The 21,662-nt window shown below is 44.5% G+C and overlaps 1 protein-coding gene and 1 pseudogene across 1 annotated transcript in view, besides 1 other annotated feature; both read right to left on the reverse strand.

Moving 5' to 3' along the window:
• The window catches only part of ABTB2 (ankyrin repeat and BTB domain containing 2), a 207,024-nt gene that overhangs the window by 174,679 nt on the left and 10,683 nt on the right, over positions 1-21,662 (reverse strand). The gene's annotated exons all lie outside the window — the stretch shown is intronic.
• Positions 3,723-3,923: a silencer, noted in NCBI's record as "peak1251 fragment used in MPRA reporter construct". NCBI's record gives its function as "represses an SCP1 promoter by STARR-seq MPRAs in K562 erythroleukemia cells {active_cell/tissue: K562}" and the evidence as "EXISTENCE:reporter gene assay evidence [ECO:0000049][PMID:32103011]".
• MMADHCP2 (MMADHC pseudogene 2) lies at positions 9,119-10,443 on the reverse strand (annotated as a pseudogene).

The following is a 21,662-nucleotide window of genomic DNA, read 5'->3' on the forward strand; positions in this document are numbered from 1 at the left end:
ATAGGCCGGGTGCAGTGACTCACGCCTGCAATCCCAGCACTTTGGGAGATTGAGGCAGGCAGATCACTTGAGGCCAGGAGTTCGAGACCAGCCTGGCCAAAACAGCAAAACCTCATCTCTACTGCAAATACAAAAATTAGCCAGGTGTGGTGGCACATGCCCGTAATCCCAGCTACTTGGAAGGCTGAGGCAGGAGAGTCACTTGAACTCGGGAGGTGGAGGTTGCAGTAAGCTGAGATTGCAACACTGCACTCCAGCCTGGGCGACAGAGTGAGACAGTCTCAAAAAATAAAATAAAATAAAATAAAATAAAATAAAATAAAATAAAATAAAATAAAATAAAATAAAATAAAGAAAAAGCTGGATAAATGTTTACTAAATGAATGAATGAGTGAGGTAAAACCAACTCTTAATTCCTTCCAGGTCTTTCTTCTCTCTCTGTACTCTAATAGGCTAGCAGTCTCCTACAATGTTAGATTTTATACAAAGGGTAAAGGGATAGTGGTGAGCTTTCTATACATTCCACTTAAACATCTAGGAAAATACCGATTCTAAGTTGACAATGGAAAATTAAGTATGTAGTTTTTAATCCTTAGACCACCCACCAAAAAAACCACAGAGATATAGTCAAAACACATAATAGATACATTAAAACAGAATACTGAAAAATGTTCTAGCCAGGTACAGTGGCTCACATTTGTAATCCCAACACTTTGGGGGGCCAAGGCAGTTGGATCACTTGAGGCCAAGAGTTCAAGACCAGCCTGCCCAACGTGGTGAGACCCCCATCTCTACTAAAAATATTAATACAAAAATTAGTTAGGTGTGGTGGCACATGCCTGTAGTCCCAGCTACCTGGGAGGCTGATGTATGAAAATCACTTGAATCTGGGAGGCAGAGGTTGCAGTGAGCCGAGATCATGCTACTGCATTCCAGCCTGGGTGTCAGAGGGAGACCCTGTCTCAAAAAAAAAAAAAAAAGTTTAAATAATCTAAAGGCAGGAAAGGAGAAAGGGAGTAGCCAAAAACAGAACAAACAGAAACAAATAATAAAATAACAGAAACTAGATCCAAATACATAAACAATTAGATTAAATGTAAATGTTCTAAACATATCAGTTAGGGCTGGGTGCGTTGTCTCATGCCTATAATCCCAGCACTTTGGGAGGCTGAGGCAGGCAGATCATTTGAGGTCAGGAGTTCAAGATCAGCCTAGGCAACATGGTGAAAGCCTGTCTCTACTAAAAATGCAAAAATTATTTTGTATTTGGGCGTGGTGGTGGGTTCCTGTAATCCCAGCTACCCAGGAGGCTGACAGGAGAATCGCTTAAACCCGGGAGGTGGAGGTTGCAGTGAGCCAAGATTGCGCCACTACACTATAGCCTGGGCAACAGAGCGAGACTCCGTCTCAAAAATAAAATAAGAAAAAAACATACCAGTTAGGAGATAATGGATTATGAGAACAGATAAACAACAAAACATGACTATTTGCTGTATACAAGAAACTCACTTGGAATACGATATAGGCTAGTTAAAATTAAATGTATGGAAAAACATTACGCAAACGTATCAAAAGAAAGCTGGAGTGGCTCTAATATCAGATAAAGTAGACTTCACAGCAAAGAAGATTACTAAGGATAAAGAGGGACATTGCAATCCTAGTTTTTATATAAAGCATCAAAGAAGATGATATTTCTAGGGGAAAGGAGTGGGAGCAATTCAGGAAGATCCTCTGTGTCCCACCCTAGGAATCCACCCCCCTAGCCACTTGAGGGCCCAGTAGCAGGGGAAACGTGGCCTGGCTCTCACTCTCAGGCCTCAGGCACATTTGGTTATCTTCACTCACCCCAGTTCCTTTCCACTCTCAATTAGCTTTTGAAGGAAAGCAACCCCAAAAGTGACAGGAGTCAGGGACCTTGTTGGAAAAAGTCATCCTCAGCCCAGGATTACATACTCCTTCCTTGGGGGTAAAATGTCAACTCTATAGCATCATCCTATAAGTGGGACTCTATATGCATGTTGTTAAGGATTTAAAATAAAATTCCCGTATTTCCACTCTTCCCCCTCTCCCAGATACGTTTCTCCCAAGAGAAACTTACAGAGAAAAAAACTTTAGAAACCAAATGATCCTGCCTGGGAGAAAGAGTTCTGGATTATGTTTTCTGCTGCTATGACCTTGGCAGAATCTGGTTTAAACAATCCCCCGGCAGCTGCGTGTACATGGTTAGAATGCACTTTGTCTGCTGTCTCACTCCCAGACCCAACTCCTCGCTGGCTGTTTAACATTTCCAACCCTCATTCTGCCTGTACTCTGAAATGTGTCATCTAGCACAGTGTGTGAAAATATTGAGATTAAGGTGGCCTCATCAGCCCTAAGCAACTCTGACTCTGTCCAACTCCAGAATAAAGATTTGGTTTGTGCTTGGACTGGTCCTGCTGTCCAGGCTGGATTGGCAGTCAAAGTCAGACAGATGGAGAGATCACGTGGGTCAGACAGGTTGGAAGGAGGCCCACTCAGTATCCCCCCTTCTGGAAAGACACTGGCTTCAGCATTCAGGCAATCTTCCTTCTTCCCAGGCTTCCAGTTTCAAGAGTGATGAAATCTGTTATCAAGGGAGTACTTGCTTTTTTGACTGTGAGAAATCCTGCAATGACAGTCTCTATCCACAGCATCGGAGTGAGGGACGCAGGCTTTGCAGCTGGAGGGAGCCTGGTGTGAGGCTGGCTTTGATGCTCACTTGCTTGGTGACTTGGGGCAGGCTGCCTAACCTCCCCAAGCCTCTGCTGCTTCCTCTGAAAATTGAGGAGAACAGTATCTGCCCTTCTACTGGTGTGATGAGGATTAAATGAGACAACGTATGCAAAATTCTTAGCACTGTACCTGAGCTAGTAACTGCTGAATAAACAGTTTCTGTTATTACTGCAACAGGATCATTCATTCCTCCAGAGCAGAAACCACCTTTTTGTTCTCCATGATGCCTCTAGAGATGCCGGCCACCGGGCAGGCATTCAAGGAACCCTTATTGGCTCTCAACATTCACACTATCTGGATCTAGTTAGTTGTAGGTACTTCAAAAGGAACATTTTATAACACCCCTCCTTGTCTGGTTTAGTTCTGAAATGGAAAGCAAATTGGCCACTTAGCCATCCAGAATCCTGAAAACACGTGGCCTCTCATATGGTCACACCTTCTATTTGCATCTACAGCTGATTAAAAGCAAAAATCTACGAGATGAACTTTTCAATAATAATTGTCAACACTCAGTTTAGACCAAACAGTTGAACTAAAACTTCAAGTATGTCAAGGTAGCACTGGGTCAGAGATAGACTAGAAGAGAAGTAACATTTAAATTCATCTGGCACAATTTAAGATCCCATTAAGACAGAAATAAACCCAGCCTGCAAGCTATTCAGCACCTAAATGGCTCACTCCTTCAAACCTGTAATCTGAATATTTAAGACACCCTCTAAAGAAGTGCTTCTCTTTCAGAGAGGAAAGGTTTCATTAGAACAAATAAACACTGAAGTCAGTGAATATAACAAATAATTGCTCTAACAGCAGCAACCAAAAGATACTCTCATTAATGGTCTGTTGAAACTCTTCAAATAAAGTTACCCTTGCCCTACTTAATGTGGTGATGTGTTTCTCTAGAAGACTGGTTTTTCCACTCCACTTCCTTCCAGATCCATCTTCCATCCCACTTCCCACTCCACCCCCCTGCCCAGATCACCCAGCATCTTCTCTCCACAGCATCCAATCTTCCTCTTCTATCCACAGCTGACCTACAGTTCTCAGGCCATGAGGGCTCCCAACCTTCCCTCTCAGCATGGGGTGGAGCATGTGGTTATGGACTACAATGACTGGTTCAATGATGGGGCACATGACCTAGGCCAGGCCCATCAGAGCCAACGAGACTCAAGTCCAGAATCTTTGAGCTATCACAAGAAGCCAACTGGTCCCCTTTCCTACTCAGCTTCAAAGCTGAGGCTGCTGCAGCTAGTTTGCAACCACAGGAGAAAGGCTGCCAGATAATGGAGCCAACCCAGGAGCAGAATCCAGAAGCAAGAGTAAGCAAAAGAAACAGGGTCCCAAAGGTACCAGTGAACCTCTGAGTCAAAGTGTACCTGAAGCCAATCCTACTTTGGGACTTTTAAACAAGCCAGTAAATTCAACTGTGTCTGTAGCCTGCAGAGTCCTGACACTGAAATGGTAAACAGAAGTGTACTTAGAAGCTACTTTATGGTTTCTTAGCTTTAAATTACTTAGGAAATGAGAATGATGCACTGGATTCCCAGAACTCCGTCCCATCTCTGTGCCCAAGTATGAGTCCAGGACTGGCTATTTCTGACCAAGTGGTTGCTGGCTGGGAAGTGCCAGGGACTTCACTTGGGGAATACTGCTTAGATAAACAGGTCTTGGGTAACGACAAAGCACTGATCTCAGGACTCCTGACTTCTGGTCCCTGCTGGGTCACTCCTTGGCCATGGGACCTCAAGTAAACCCTTCTGCACTTCATTTTCTTCTAAAGGAAAACAAAGCCCTCTGCCTCTAACACAGGGAGAATAGGAGCCAGTACTGCCTGGTATTTTGGGCTTTGAGTTGGGTAGATCTAGGTTCAAATCCCTAGTCTACCCTAGATCCAAGATTAGGATTTGGGTCAAGAGGCCCAATCTCTCTGACCCTCAGTTTCCTTCTTTGTAAAATGGGAACAAATCAGAGTATTGTTGCACAGAGTTATTTTAAGAATTAAATAAGGTAAAGTTTATAAAGTGTTTAGTAAGGTGTCTGATATATAGAAAGACACAATAAATGGTAGCTATAATAGCTGTGAGATCAAATGAGAAAGAATGTGAAAGTGCTTTGTAAAAACCATGAGAAACTGTACCTGTATTAGGGATTATTGTCATCACCTCTCATTCCTAAAATGGCCATGGTTATAACATCATAGTGTGGGGTAAAGGCAATAAACTTATGAAATAAATTCAATTGATAAATTATACCCAATCCAGCAGAGAGATAGTTGTCAATGAGGCATAGGGGTGCAAACCCCATGCTATAACTGTCATTTCATCAACAGTTTAGCACACTCCCAAGAAATATGTTAGGGTGGTTCATGGAAAATGCTATCAATAGTGACCTGTTAAATGTTCCTCTGGAGGCCTGGAACTGTTCCCAAGCTATGTGCATGCAGTCAGATCCCTTTGGAACTTTTCCAGAGCTACATCTGCAAAAGTACAGGTAAGATCCCCTTCCTGATTCTCCAACTTCTTTTAACAACTTCATGGGCAGGATGCAAATCTGCCTCTTTATGAATGAGAAATTTCAGTTGCTGAGCTTGGCAGCAGAGATTTCCAAGAAATCCAGCCTTCCAGTGGACCCCCTCCTATGTTCCACCAGCACATCCCATAAAACGAGGGAGTTCTGGGTTTCAAATGGGCTGCTTGCAGGAAAGAGACAGCTGTGGTAAAACCAAAAAGATATTCCTTCCACGTGTTGAAGAATAAAGTCCTCCTGATTGAAGGGACTTTGGCTTCTTTTTAGTTTGGAGGCATTTTAAAAAGCATACATGACAAGCCTAAGAAGTGCTTACCACAAGCATATAAAGGGTCACTTCAACTCATGTAAGTATTGCTTAACGCGGAAAAAATTAAAGCTTGAAAAATCAGGACCATAAAACGCAAGGAGTAAGGAGTTGTGGAAAAACAACCCCATCTGAGGTTGCAATACTCCTTCAGGAAAATAGATACACTGTTCTCTTACTCTCTTTTCTAACTGTAGCCTATATACCAGCCATGTGTATTTTGGACTCCTTCCCATCCTACCATGATTTCCTGTCTAAGTCTGGGTCCCATGGTAACTGGAGCAATTTGGCATGCTGGCCCCAAACACCATGACTGGCCACGTGAGGGATGCCAAGTGGGTATCTCTTCCATAACAAACATCTCTCTCTTCTGGCTCTGTAATGAGGTTACTCTCTTACTCATAAACTCTTACTAATAAAGTCTTCAGTTGATAAATGAATCTTCCCATCCAGCCTCTTTCACTCACCCAGAAGAAGTGATAATCTTTTGCAGAGCCAGAAGATCTATGTATTCAAGTTTACATTGCACGGGGTAGAAGGGTTGCAAGACTGCGGGAAAAAGAAAAATTAAAAACCCCAGCTTTGCTGCTAGCAAAAGTGTTAAGTAGTTCAGTAAAAGCCAAACCTCATTTATGGAGTGAGCAGAAGTTATCCTTGGAAATGTATTTCCTGGTGAGAGTCCCAAGGATATGGTGACATGAGTCACAGGTTTTACAAGCCTGAGGGCTAACTTCTATTTATCTTTCAGATCTCAACACAAATGACCACCTCTGGGACTATGACAACTCCATGCCCCCAATCTGATTTTGTAGCCATGGTCTTCCCAGTATAGTATGCAATAGCCTGTATTACAACTGCCTGTTTGATTCTTGCTTTCGGACCCAGAGCTCCTGAAGGGCAGGACTGTAACTTTTCGCCTCTATTCTGATGCAGCACTTAACGTAAAGGAGGCATCTGTAAATGCATGTGATGTGGCTGTAGGCAGACCTAGCTCTAGATCACATCACAAATTTGGAGCATTCACCCTCTAACCTGTCCCAGCCTCCTGCATCTTCACTGCCACCTACCCACTGCACAGTTCTCCCTTCTCCTCCATGAAGACCTACCTTAAGGAAAGGCTACGCTAGTAATCATTCAGACTAAGGTCAAATGGAATCCTACACGCAAAATTATTCCCTCCGAAAATGTAACCCCCACACTCACACTCAGGGTATTATGCACCCATCCACCCTTGACCTAAGGGAATTAAATTATAATTGGATAATTTTAGCCAATCACAGGGGTAGATATTTTGGTTGGGTTTTTTGAGGAGGAGCTAGAAAAACTGGCTCCTCCAGCTGCTTTTGAAAGCACACAGTGACCCACTCCTGGCCCTCAGCAAACCCAGCATCCAGGGACCACCCCCCGAGCCCAGGGGAGTTGGTCCAGCCTAGCCCGCTGTCCAGCAATGCCTCTGTTGATTTTGCTAATAGAGCAAACAGACCCTCTTTGAAAAAGAGGCAAAGGCAGGAGAACTCTGCTTTCCTGCCCATTTCCTCTGCCTTATTAAGCAAGAAGAACTGGTTTCAGTTAAAAAAAAAAAAAAATCCTGAAAGCCACTGATGGAACAGTCTCTGAAGTGCGTTCAGGGAGTCACAGGACATGGAAGGAAATGGAGGGCACAGGAACATGAATTATGGTGAGCACTGGGGAAATGCCTGCTTCGTCTGGGTGAGAAACAGGCAAAGACTTTGAGGTCAACAATGGCCATTCATAAACAAACAGCTTTAACTTATTAAGCATCAAGGGTTTTACAAATATTTCTCGAATGATTTTACATGTGTTGTCTCAGTTGATTCTCCTAATCCAACCCTATAGCACAAGTACTATCACTTTAAAAAATAAACTGAGGCTCAGAAAGGTTTAATAATTTACCTACCCCCAGAAGTTCAAGAACAGGTAAAAGTAATTGAAGGTGGCAGGAGTCAGAATAATAGTTATGTGGGGTAGACACTAACAAGGAATGGCCATGAGGGTGTCTCCTAGGCAGGAGTGTTTTAAATCTTGATCTTGACCTGGGTAAGTTACATAGCGGCATGTCTGGGTAAAAATTCATCAAGCTGTGCATTTAAGACTCTGGTCTTTATGCATCCCAATCTATACTAAAGGAGAAACAAAACAAAACAAATAAATAAGAAAAACAAACAAACAAACAAAATTCCCAAAAACTAAAAATAAAGGAAAAACAGGCTGGGTATGGTGGCTCAAGCCTGTAATTCCAGCACTTTGGGAGGCCAAGGTGGGCAGATCACTTGAGGTTAAGAGTTCAAGACCAGCCTGGCCAACATGGCAAAACCCTGTCTCTACTTAAAATAAACAAATTAGCTGGGCATCGTGGTGCTCACCTGTAATCCCAGCTACTCGGGAGGCTGAGGCAGGAAAATTGCTTGAACCCGGGAGGCAGAGGTTGCAGTGAGCTGAGATTGTGTCACTGCACTCCAGCCTGGATGACAAGAGTGAGACTGTCTCAAAAAATAAAATATAATAAAATAAAGGAAAAACAGGTAATGCCTCCAGCTCAAATCACACAGTGAAGATCCCAAAATTGAACCCAGGTCTCCCTAATTCCAAAACCTATGTTCTTGTCTCCTTTACTCTGTCAAATTCAAGATTCAGAGGCAGGACATGAGGATACGTTATACCCAGATGCTGGGATCTGCAAGCACATGACTGATGTGTCTCAAACATCTTGGTGCTTCCCCTTTCCACTAAGGGAAGGGAGCCACAGGTGAAAAAAAAAAAAAAAAGCCACAGGCAAAAGTCATGATGCTGAGTGGTGACGATGGAAACAGAAAGGTCTAAAATCACACCAAGGCAAACACTATCAGATCCAACCCAAACGTTTCCTTCTCTTGGAAGGAAAATCTCCTGGCTAACATGAATGCTCCTAAGGTGACTCTAATGAAAGCCTTTACATCTGGCACAGCAAGGACAAAAACAACCCTGTCTTTGTTCAACTGTTTTAGACACATACGGGAGCTCATGCCTAAGACCTGCCCCAACCTAAGAATCCAGGCAACTTAAATATCCCTACTGTTCTGTGTTCTCCATGTGAAAGCCACTGTGGCTGGAAGAGAAAACTCACTTCTCAGAGCATTTTGCACAGATGAGAGGCAATCAGAAAGGGTATGAATGGTGGCCTGTGGCATGGTTCAGGTGGTTCATGGGATAATAAATAGCTACCACCTATTGAGAACCCACTAATTTTTTAACCTCAGGTGCACAAATTGGATTTATCATAATCCTTGGTTCATGACCATTTTTAATTAGCTATAATGTGAACTCAACTCCCAAACAAAAGCTAGAGCCTTGGCAACCATCTACATGCATCTAAACCATATGACCCTCCCTCCCCTAATCCTTCCCTTTCCCTCTTCCCATGAGGCATAACCATCAACCGTGTTTCCCATCCCCTCACTTTCTCTCTTACATGGTATTTACTGTGCCTGTAATGTACTCCTTCAGCACATCTTAATATTTGGGTTTTTTTTTTTTTTCGTAACCAAATGTGTGATTTATTTTTGGAAGAAAGTAATTAAAACTGAGGCCTTTTTCCAATAAAGGGGAGAAATAACAATAACAGATAATACCCTAGTTACAAGCTAATTACCACAACCTATACAATGTGGGTGTGCTCAACATGTATTCAATGATATGAATAATGAACATTTGCAATTTTAAAATCCCATATCACTTACCAATGTTGTAAATTCATAAATGCTGAAATAAATAGAAATAAGTATATTTTAAAAACTTTAGTCTGACAGTGTTTATAGATCAACCCAAATATTACATACAAATAATACAGCAAATGAATGGACATTTCCGCTAATTTCCACTTAATTTCTTCATAATATGGCTGTCTGGTGTTGCATTAGTGAAGATGCTTCCTACAACTACACGGGTACCCCAGAGACTATGACGAATCACTTTAAGCATCGAAGGTCATCAACAGAGAATCCTAAATGTCGGTAGCATTCATCAGTTTCAAAAAGATTGTTGTTTGTATATGGTCCAAAAAAATGCCAAACCAGATGATGGGTCAGTAAAGTCAGCCCAATATCCCTCAGCACAAAGAGTACAGCAAATTTCCTTAGCAACATTGATGAACTTTTCTAAGAGCACTTCTCTTTCAGTTTCTACTTCTTCACTCTAAACAGTCATATTATTCTTAGTTTTCTGTGTTACAGTCAGAATGATTAATTTGCTATTAGCTACTTCTGGAAACAGTGATTCAAAATCTTTTCGCCACAATTCTGGACACGTTTGTATTGCACACTCCACTCTGGCACTTTCAAAGTTAAGTTTCTGCACTGTTAATTTCTTGTTCAACAGGTGCATCATTACCCTGAAATTCATTCACATATTGTGTCATCACAAACTTGTGTCTTTCACTTGATAAAGTTTCTGCTAGAACATCAGGCAAAGTTTTATAAAGCAGGCTTTTCTTCTGTGAAGCAGTCCCATTGAGGTGACAATCAAAACCTATGATCCCAGGAAGCTTGAACCTCTGATCTTGAGGTCCAAACGGTCCCATAGTTTCATCAGGCCACACCTTTTGAGAGCATATATCTGGAGGTAGAGCGGCCACATGAGACACCTAAACCTGACAATCCTGCGGTTGAAAAGGCTTTGGGATTGCCAACGTTTTAACTAAAGAGTAAAATCCTGGGAGATAGGAAAACAGTCTGGCTCTGTTACAAAGCACATTGGCCAACTCTACTGGAGGGGACAGTTCACTAAATAGCTTTCCTTTGGTAAAGTTATTCCAGTCACCACCACTGTCTCCAGCTGTCCCAGAACCTGACGTTCCTGCCATCCAATATTTGTTTTTAATTTCTCTACATTGTATTGTGCTGTAATATAATCTTTTGAGCTTATTTTTTTCACTTACTACTAAAGCTTATTCAACTAATTTTTCCTCCTATTCATTCAATGTCAGCTGAGCCCATGCACCTTCTGAGAAGCATTGTTTACACTTTTGCATTTCACATTTACAACACCATAAGGCAGGTACTACTATCATTCCAAGTTTATAGATTAAAAAACAAATAGGTTGAGGTACTTGCCTAGCACCACATTAAAAAAGCAGCCAGGCCAGGCACAGCATTCTGGGAGGCTGAGGCAGGAGGATTGCTTGAGGCCACAAGTTTGAGACTAGCCTGGCCAACATAGTGAGATCTTATCTCTATAAAAAATTTTAAAAAATTATCTGGGTGTGGTGACTTGTGCCTGTAGTCCCAGCTGTTTGGAAGGATCAGGTGGAAAGATCACTTGAGCCCAGGAGTTTGAGGTTGTCATGAGCCATGATCGTACCACTACACTCCAGCCTAGGTGACAGAGGGAGGCCCTGTCTCAAAAAAAAACAAAACAAACAAACAAACAAAAAAAAGCAGCTTACCTGCAGTTAGACCCGGGTTTGTTTCCAAAGCCCTTATTTCCCTACTGTAAGACTCAGGGTTAATGCTTGCATATGGGTGGGCTCCCTCCCCATGCCAAAGGAAGGGTGGCCAAAGATAACCCCCAAACTGGTAATCATCATCACCATCATCATGACTAACATACGGGAGACTCACACACCAGGTCCTGTTCCAAGCATTTTACGAGGTGTAGTTCATTTAATCTTGTCCACAACTATCATATGAGGGAAACAGGATTATCCCTATCTTACAGACAAGTAAACTGAGGCACCGAGATATGAAGTAATTTGTCCAAGAAGAAGTGGAGCCAAGATTTGAATGCAGGCAGTCCAGCTTCATACCCACACCGTCAATCACAAGGCCCTACTGCTTCTCAGTTTACTGAGGAGGACAACCACCTGAGTGCAAGTGAGTGGATTCGGATGAGTGCTGGCTAAGAGGAGGCCTGTGCTGGGCTTGCACCTGGGTGGAAACTGCAGCACTTCCGGAACCTGGCTTATTTGTTGAGGAAGGCCCCGATTCTGCGCCTGTCTGGGGAGAAGAGTTGCATGCAGGGGCTGTGTAGGGAAGGAGGCAGGGGTTGAGGAGGAGGAACAGCAGACCACAACACAGACAGCCTTAGGACGGGCACAGCTGACTGGCTGCTGGTCTCAGCCTAGGGAAATAACAAGGTTCTCAAAGCCAGGACTGGAAAGGCCAAAGGGCCGTACCTTGAGGAAAGATGGCACAAGCAGCTTTCTCAAAAAATTCTGACACTGTACTTATAATGCAGGATTCTTATTTGACCCAATAGCCTAATGCTTTTGATTAAAACTTTCAGCATGGAAAACGTGGGCTTTGAAGTCTGACAGTACTAATCTCAAACGCTGGCTCTGCTACTTGTGTGTATGGGTGACCTCGAGCAAGTCATTTCAACTATCTCAAGGCCTCAGTTTCCTCATTTGTAAAATGAGGATAAATAATGTGACCTACAGCTCACAGGCTGTAGTGAGGATTCCACAAGATACTGCATGCAAATCACTAGTGTCCTGCTCACCTCATAGTAGGCATTCGGCAAATAACAACCTATATTTTTATCACCACCGACTCATCACATTTGGTTGGAAAAATTAAACGAGATAGCATCCAATAAACATTGGTTATCTTTCTAACACCTCTCCCCACCTCCCCCTACTCAAATCACCCTAACCATGATCTCCATCTTACCACCCACAGAGAAGACCCTCAAAGACTGGCCTTTCCCAAACTGTACATCCTCAAGAGGGTCCTTTGCCCCATACATACTGTGAGAGGAGCGCAGAATAAAATCCACCCCCAGTGATGTAGATGGAATTCACAAACCTGCCCGTTTATCTAGAATCGCCGCAAGAGTTGCTTTAAAAATACAGATGTCGGCCAGGCACAGTGGCTCACACCTGTAATTCCAGCACTTTGGGAGGCCAAGGAGGGTGGATCACCTGAGATCAGGAGTTCAAGACCAGCCTGGCCAACATGGTGAAACCCTGTCTCCATGAAAAGTACAGAAATTAGCTGGGTGTGGTGGCGCATGCCTGTAATCCCAGCTACTTAGGAGGCTGAGGGAGGAGAATTGCTTGAACTCAGGAGATGGAGGTTGCAATGAGCTGAGACTGCACCACTGCACTCCAGTCTGGGTGACAGAGTGAGACCACTTCTCAAAAAAGAAAAGAAAAAAAAAATACAGATGTTCTGGTCGGGAATGGCGGCTCACACCTGTAATCCTGGCACTTTGGGAGGTCGAGGTGGGTAGATCACTTGAGGTTAAGAGTTTGAGACCAGCCTGGCCAACATGGTGAAACCCCATCTCTACTAAAAGTACAAAAAAAAAAAAAATTAGCCGGGCGTGGTGGGGTGCACCTGCAGTCCCAGCTACTTGGGAGGCTGAGGTGGCAGAATCACTTGAACCGGGGCAAGGCTTGCAGTGAGCTGAGATCACACCACTATACTCCAGCCTGGATGACAGAGGGAGACTTCCTCTCAAAACAAAACAAAAAAACAGATGTCTTAGCCCCACTTTTACAGGTTTTCACTTAATAGATTCAGGGTGGGTTCCAGAATACTAATGTTATTTTCAAAACTTATTTATTACTATTACTTTTATATAGAGACAGGGTCTCATCAGCCTTGGAGGAAAAAAGCAGAACCTAAGCCTAGGAATATCAACAGTAGCAACAGTGGCAGTGATGGTAGCAAGAGCACTCCCTAAAGCCCCTTCCATCGTCTTGAAATCAGCAACAGTATCTACCTCTGCAGGATACTGTGTGGCTCAAAGGAGAAAATGCAGGTAAAACATTGTAACACATCTAAGTTCTTACTGTGTGCCAAGCCTTATGTTAACTGTTTTATATACATTTTGCTATTTTGTTTAGTCACATCATCCCTGGGAGGTATTTTTTAAAACACCATTTCTCGTCATCTTGACCAGGCTGGTCTCCAACGCCTGGCCACAAGTGATCCTCCCACCTAGGCCTCCCAAAGTGCTAGGATTACAGGTGTGAGAACCTGCACCCAGTCTAGAACATCAATTTTTAAAGTGCTTCAAGATGTTTCTGCAACCAGCCAGCTCCGGCAATGAGTGACTTAAGGGAAAGGGGAAGAAGTGTGTGGGCTCATGCTAGAGGTCACCACACCCCACTCCACACCACATCCTTCTGAGGCCTGAGGGGCTGTGGGGACAATGAAGGCGACCACAGCACAGATAACAAACAAAGCAACTATTTGGCAAGAAGAGTCTGAGTTACCCATTAACTATGAGTGATCTGTCAGTGCCAGAGAAGCCTCACAAAAGACGATGGTGTGGTCGCCTGGGAGGGCCCTCAGTGAGGACCCAGTTACACCAATGGCAACACAATCATGCAATATCCTGGCCTTGTGTCCTTCCTGTTTTCTCTTTGAGATTGGTGCTTCCCTGAGTAGAATCATCCCTGGAAAGCAGGGATATCATCATTTCTCGGTGCCATTTGGATTCCCCCAGTTTAAACTCCTCTCTTGTAACAATGGTGATGAAAATTACTGGATTCCCTACATATGATTCCAAGTTATTTGGATTTCATCACTAGTGGCAGATTTAGCACATTCTGGATGTTGGCAAACGAGTGGCAATTGCATAAATACATGAGCACTTCACACCACAAATTAATCCTATAGAAATAATCCAGCTCTGATTACACTGTTTGACTGGGTGGTGCTTGTTAGCTTGTTATACAGCTGGAACCAGCAGGAAGGAGGCAGGCTGGTCACCATGTGGGGTACCAGAATGACAACTGCACAGTCATGCTTTATGATAACTGCACAGTATGCTTCTTAGCCCCACCATCCTCCAAACAAACAAACAAACAAACAAAAACAAAAAAAGAAAAAAGGACAGGAAGGAAGGGAAGGGAAGAAGGAAGAATAAAAGACCACACAGAGTCCATAATATGCAAGTTTAACTTAGACACTCACTTTACACACTAAACCCCTTCTGGGTCGCTTTTTCTGACTAGACAGATAAGACATTCTCAAGGAGAAAATGCGAACAATACGTGAAAAAATAGTGCACCAAATGCCATTGCTGGGAAGCAACAATAATGAAGATGGCAACAGTAGCTCATACCTGGTGGCTGCTACCTGCCATGTGCTGGGCTAAATGCTTTACTTAGCATCATCCCATTTAATTCGCACAACCAGCCTGCCAGGTAGTTTTAGTATAATCGCCATTTCGCAGATGAGAAGATTGAGGTATTGCAAAGTTAAATAATTAGCTATATGATCTAGCCAAGTGACTGGGGGAGTCAAGGTGCGAACCAACCCAGGACCCAGGTGTGACCAAATATCTTTTCAGAAGGATCCTTTCTACAGCTCAAGAGAGGACTCTTTTGGTCCTACTCTTCTCAGAGATACTCCTCCCAAAGCCACCCTCAGCTAAGATCTCAGTGAAGCCTCTGTTAGACTCAGCCAAAGGACCACAGGTCATGTGAAGCACTAAAAACTTTAACCTCAAGTTCCAAGGAGCCCCAGATCCTGGCAGTAGCTGTCCAGGTGGCGGCTCTCCAGGTAGATACCAATAGGCCAGCTTTAGGCAAACACCTCTGAAAGAGCTCACCTCCCATGGTGGAAGAAACAGTCCCTGAATGAAAGCTCAGAAGACCTCCTAGTTCAAACAAACAAACATCCTCTGATTTATGACAAGAAGCCAGTCAACAAGCTCAGTAGGAAAGATGAGCCTTAGAGGAAAAAGCAGAACCCAAGCCTAGGAATATCAACAGTAGGAACAGTGGCAGTGATGGTAGCAATAGCACTCCCTAAAGCCCCTTCCATCATCTTGAAATCAGCAACAGTATCTACCTCTGCGGGATACTGTGTGGCTCAAAGAAGAAAATGCAGGTAAAACATTGTAACACATCTAAGTTCTTACTGTGTGCCAAGCCTTATGCTAACTGTTTTATATACATTTTGTTATTTTGTTTAAATAGTCACATCATCCCTGGGAGGTATTTTTTAAAACACCATTTTGCTGAGGAGGAAACAACTTGAGAGGGGCTAAGTGACTTGCCTGAGGCCACGCAGCTTGGAAATGATAAAACCCGACCTTGTGTCAAGGGTCCAGAGGTTAGAGCCACAAGAACCAATGGCCTTAATCTCCATTTCCATGAATCTTCTTGTTTCTGCAAACAGAGGGCTTCTGAGAAGCTGGGGAATGGTTGAAATTTTTAGACCTGTGAAAACCCAGAAAGCTGGCCCCAAGCGACCCACCACTGACCCACTCTAATGGCTGTATTGTTGCACAGAACTGTCTGCGATGATGGAAATGTTCTATATCTGCATTGTCCAATATGGTAGCCACTAGCCACATATGACGAGGGAGCACAAGAAATGTGACTTGCATGACTGAGGAAATGGTTTTTTTTAACCTTATCGAATTTGAATACATTTAAATATACACCTGTGGCAAGTGGCTGCCGTATTGAACAGAGCAGCTCTGTGGCTCCTCTCACTCACAGCTTGTCAGGTCTCCTGGGCACCACAAGATGGAAGTTCTACAAAAACTCATGAGTTCCCAGGCCAGGCCTCAGTGTGAACGGAAAAATAAAACAAATTTTTCTTACTCCCAAGCAAATGCCATTGCTCTGATCTTGGAACGTTTTCAGCTGGAAGAGAGAAATGGCCATTTCCAAAACAAATGACCTCTCCCCATTTTCCTCCCTTTAAGGAAAAAGATTAAACGTGTAAAGGGTCCCCCATTAAATTACTTAGGAAAGGTTGCCACATTTTCTGGTGACAAATGCCTTTGGCTTATGATGACACAAGGACTCAAACACGGTAGAAAGAAAAAGCCAGAAGGGTAAACAAGAAGAGGTCCCACACTCTCCAAGGTATCATAAATCAAGGAAATAGACTCAAGGAGCTAACAGCTTCCAAACATTCTTCCTCTTGAGCTATTTTAAGCAACCAATACACACAACCTTTCAGAGGCAATTTCATTCACACTAACAGAAGAGAAACAATGTGCTTCATACGGTATTATCTTTAAACACGCAGAGAAACAAATACCTACCCCACAGTTCTCAGGCGCAGCTGGCTGGCCACCCTACTGGGCAATGTTACTATTTTCAGGCCCCCAGTGGCTCAGTTGTTGAGATGCAGTGAGGGATGCTTTGGCCTTGCTTCAGTTCCTCTTGTCCTCTTGGGCCAACCCATTCATTTCTTTGCTCAGGAAATCACTGCATGTGCTTCGTCCCCACCCAGGCCACTCCTGAGGACAGGAGGCCACAGGGCAAATGAGGACTTCAGAGCTCAAAGAGCCCGGCTGTGTCATTGACTAGCTATGTCACCTGAACTTCTCTGAGCTTGTTTTTCAGCAGCAAAATGGGAGTAAGAGTATATATGATGGTAAGAATCACATGATATAATACATGTGAAGCACATGGGCCGGGGTCTGGTGCTTCGTAAAAGTTTGACCCACGGTAGGTCTGTGCTGGGTATCAGAGTTGAGAATTCAGTCTCTTGGCTTCTCTGGCTGGGGAGGGAACACACATGGTTGAAGAGTAGAGAATCAGGGGTAAGACTGCCTGGACCACCACTTATTACCTGCATGACCGTGAGCAAGCTACCAAACCTCTCTGTGACTTTGTTTCTTCATCTTAAAGATGGGAATCACAGTATTCACTTCATTTACCAGTGGGGCAAATAACATCTTATGGTGTCACTCCCATTTCATTTATTTATTTATTTATTTATTTATTTATTTATTTATTTATTCGTTCATTCATTCATTCATTTTTTGAGATGGAGTCTCACTCTGTCACCCAGGCTGGAGGGCAGTGGTGCGATCTTGGCTCACTGCAACCTCCGCATCCTGAGTTCAAGCAATCCTGCTGCCTCAGCCTCCCGAGTAGCTGGGATTACAGGTGTGCGCCAGCACTCTGGGCTAATATGTTGCTCCCATTTTAGATCTAGCCATGCCCTTTCCATGTAAACCTAACAGTTCAAGCTTCTCTTGAGTGTTCTTTGGTGATCCCTCTAGATGAGTTAGCCAAAGCTGCTGTGGCTGTGAAATGAAGGAAAGTCACCATCCTAGGTGGGGCGAAAAGACATACTCCAGAACAAGGATGCTTTTACCACTAATAATAGTTAATGTCTGCATCCTCACTACATACCAGGCTCTCCCAGGAATGCTACCCACATGGTCTGGGCCCCATGCCAGACCATTTATTTCAGAATATCTGGAGGTAGGGCCTTAAGACAGACAGACAGACACACACACACATACACACACTTTTTTTCTTTTGAGACAGAGTCTCGCTCTGTTGCTCAGGCTGGAGTGTGGTGGTGTGATCTGCGCTCACTGCAACCTCTGCCTCCCAGGGTCAGGTAGTTCTCCTGTCTCAGTCTCCCGAGTAGCTGGGATTACAGGCGCCTGCCACCACACCGCCTCATTTCTGTATTTTTAGTAGAGACAGGGTTTCACCAAGTTGGCCAGGCTGGTCTCGAACTCCTGGCCTCAGGTGATCTGCCTGCCTTGGCCTCCCAAAGCGTTGGGATTACAGGCTTGAGCCACCATGCCTGGCTGACACTTTTATTTTTAAGCTATCCAGATAATACTAACGTGAATCTAGGATTGAAAACCACTGAAACAACAACCCTATCAGCTAGGAACTATGGCAACCCCATTTAACAGAAGAGGAAAACTGAGGGCAGAGACCTCAGCTATCTAGCTGGCAATCAGACAGTGACAACTCCTTCAGACCCCATCTCTTAGCCAGGCTTTGCACCCTGCCCCTCCTGAGCAGCCGAGGTCAAAGCATCCAACAGGCGGTTGGATACTCCCAAACCATTCGGACACCACTCCAGGCCCCATGCCTTCTCAAGCCACCTAAGAGCGTTCTTTTTCCGGCCAAATTTCAGACCCACACTTGACCTCCAGGAATCCAAAGCTGCCTGAAAAATGGAGTCTTGCTTTCCCAGAATTGAAGGACACAGACGCAAAGTCACAATGATCCACAGAACAATTGGACTAATTAAACAGCCCCCATTTTAATGACAGGAAACAACAGAGTTGATGATCTTTATTAAAGGCTGCTGGCTGCCTACAAAGAAGCTGGAAAGCAAAATTCAGGGGCTTTTATGGCCATCAGCCAAAGATCGTAAGACTGAAAATTAAATCTCTATTGTCTGAGTCTCTATGCAGCCCTGCTATACTGAGCCCACCCTCTGGAAGGGCAAAGAAGGGCAATATTTCAATCCATCATATGACTAATGAAGTTCAAGGTGGCCTGTCTCCCAGCCAACTTCCTATTTGTTTTTCGGAGACAGGGTCTCACTCTGTTGCCCAGGCTGGAGTGCATGCAGTGGTGTGATACCGGCTTACTGCAACCTCTGCCTCCTGGGCTCAAGCAATCCTCTCACCTCAGCCTCCCAAGTAGCTGGGGCCACAGATGTGCACCATTATACCTGGCTAGTTTTTGTATTTTTTTGTAGAAACGGGGTTTCACCGTGTTGCCCGGTCTGATCTCGAACTCCTGGACTCAAGCCATCCACCTGCCTCAGCCTCCTAAGGTGCTAGGATTACAGGTGTGAGTCACTGTGCCCGGCCCAACCTATTTGATATCTGTATGTGATTTGAGACAGACAACTAAAACCGCACTAGGATCTTTGGTGCAGTCCTGCTTCTTCCATACACAGCTTTCCCCACTTCAGTCAATGGCCACTCCCTCCTTCCAGGGCTCAGACCATAGCAACTTGGTGTCATCCTTGATTCCTCTCTCATACCTCACACATCCAAGCTGTTGGCAAGTGCCAGTGGCTGGTCCCGCTGCGTCCACACTTGATACTAAAGTCAATTTCCAACACAATAGAGAGAGTGACCTTGTGGAAATACAAATCAGATCAAGTCACTCTGTGCTTGAGTCCCTCCAATGCTTTTCAGCTTACTCAGAACTAAAAGCCAATGAATTATTACCCAATGGCCTACCCCACTAACCACCCCACCATTTCCTCTCCAACCACATCTCCTGCTACACTCGCCCCAGCCGCACGGAAGGAGCTTCTCCTTGGTGGCTCCTTGAACCCACCAGGAATGCTTGCTATTCCCTCTGCCTAGAGCTGTCTTCTCCAGCCAGGCTGGCCTCAGGTGATTCCCCTCACTCTGCCTCATTATCCACAGGGCCTGCACCCTGCCCTCCTTCAGGCCCCTTTTATTCATTTGTTGCATCACCAGCTCCTGGAACAGTGCCCAGCACACAGTCCTCAATAAATATTTGTTGGGTGAACAAACGGATGTAACCCAAACAGAACTCCTGGCCTCTCCCCTACACAGTCCTCAGACTCCCCACCCCCGCCATCATCATTTGTCTCCTCAAAGACCAGTGTGGTAGAAAACACTACTTAGAATACTTTACAAGCACCCACTGGACAGGTGGGGGACATTGCGATGCCTTCTCAGAGGCAGCCCTACCCCTGAGGCCTTCTCACCTGCTACTGAATTGGGTCCCAGCATAGTCCTGGCCTGCCCAGCTGGTACTCAAGTGGATTAAGTCCAGAAGAACAGCTGCAAGCAACTTGCTTCCAAATTGTGTCCCCATGTACAACTTTAATTACCCGGCTGCTGAGATGGGCTGAAGAAGAAACAACCAGGTCCCTGGCTTTCACAAAAGCAACTCTTTTTTTGCCATATGTTCTGCCTCTCCAGAAGATTTCATCAATTTTCAACTTGGGATTTGACGGGTAGATGGGCCGGTTGGGGAAGAGAAACAGGCAAGCCACCCCATTTCCCCAGCCTCTCATACTGACCTGCCCAAGCCCTATTCAAGCTATGTGACTGTGAAGTACATCAGGGTTCAGAGCCTGTATACCTCGGAGCATGGAGCTCCATGTCTCGGCCTTCAGCATTCCTGGCAGCCTGTCATCCTCAGTTACTCTCATTTTCCCTCCTCTTTGAAACACCGGCCCTGCCAATGGCAACAAACAGCATTTAAAAATATCCTGCTGGATTATACAGCTCTGCCTTTGAAATTCCTCACAATGCCTGTCTCTGTCCCACATCGTATAAAGAAGGGTGTAGCATATTTAATTTTTTTTTTCTAGCTGCTCCCCTGCTATAAATATCCAAGTCTGGGTAGGCGGGCTTCAAGCACATGCTATATGAAGTCACCTCGGAGCTGGATCTCACCACAGTGCCGGCCTGCCAGGACCTGGATGCAGCTGTCAAGCACTGAAGCATGAGGTCGGCCAAAAGCATGTAGCACTCATCTTTCTGGGGAAAGGGGCACAGGAAAACCCTGAGTACAGTAATCACAATTAATCTTAATATTAAAAAGACAGTGTCCAGCCCTATTACCAAGCCAGGTCTTCAAAGAGCTCGTCCAGCACCATCCTGGGTGTTTCTTTCCCAAGGATACTAATTACAGCGCTCGACCTTAGGAAAATGACTGCACAGTGTCCATGTGGGGTCTAGAAACACTATCAGAGACAGAAAAGCCCTTGGGGAATCTAGTCTGACCTCTCCACACCACAGATAAGGAAACAGAGATCCAAGAGATGGAATGATTCATGCCAGGTCACAGACGGGGCAAGCTCCACCCCAGAATTTTCTGGATCCAAATCCTCATAGCTCTGTACTGGATTGTTCCGGATGCTTGTGCACGTACACCCACTTGGTGTGTGAGCCTCAGGCTTGTGTTTATTAATAGCTCTCCTCACAGCAAATACTAATTTTCATATTTTAAAATGTACAGACTAAAAAAAGTTGTAAAGGTTTCAATAAAAGCTTGGCCTCAACTGTAGGGAGGGTTTTCGTGCACTGAGAGGCCCATTTCAACCTCTTTGAGGTCCAGTTTAATGTCTCCTCAACTCTAACCTTGTATGTCCAGGCTTCCAAGTTTAGTTTTCTTGTTTAATTTTTCCATCATGGGCCTGACTCTCCTCAGCTTACTTTTAGAAAGCAAACCATGGGCCGGGCATGGTGGCTCATGCCTGTAATCCCAGCACTTTGGGAGGCCACGGCGGGCAGATCGCTTGAGGTCAGGAGTTCGAGACCAGCCTGGCCAACATGGTGAAACCCTGTCTCTACTAAAAATATGAAAATTAGCCAGGTGTGGTGGTGCCTGCCTATAATCTCAGCTAAC

Source organism: Homo sapiens, chromosome 11 (assembly GCF_000001405.40).
Source record: "Homo sapiens chromosome 11, GRCh38.p14 Primary Assembly".
NCBI classification, from domain to species: Eukaryota; Metazoa; Chordata; class Mammalia; order Primates; family Hominidae; genus Homo; species Homo sapiens.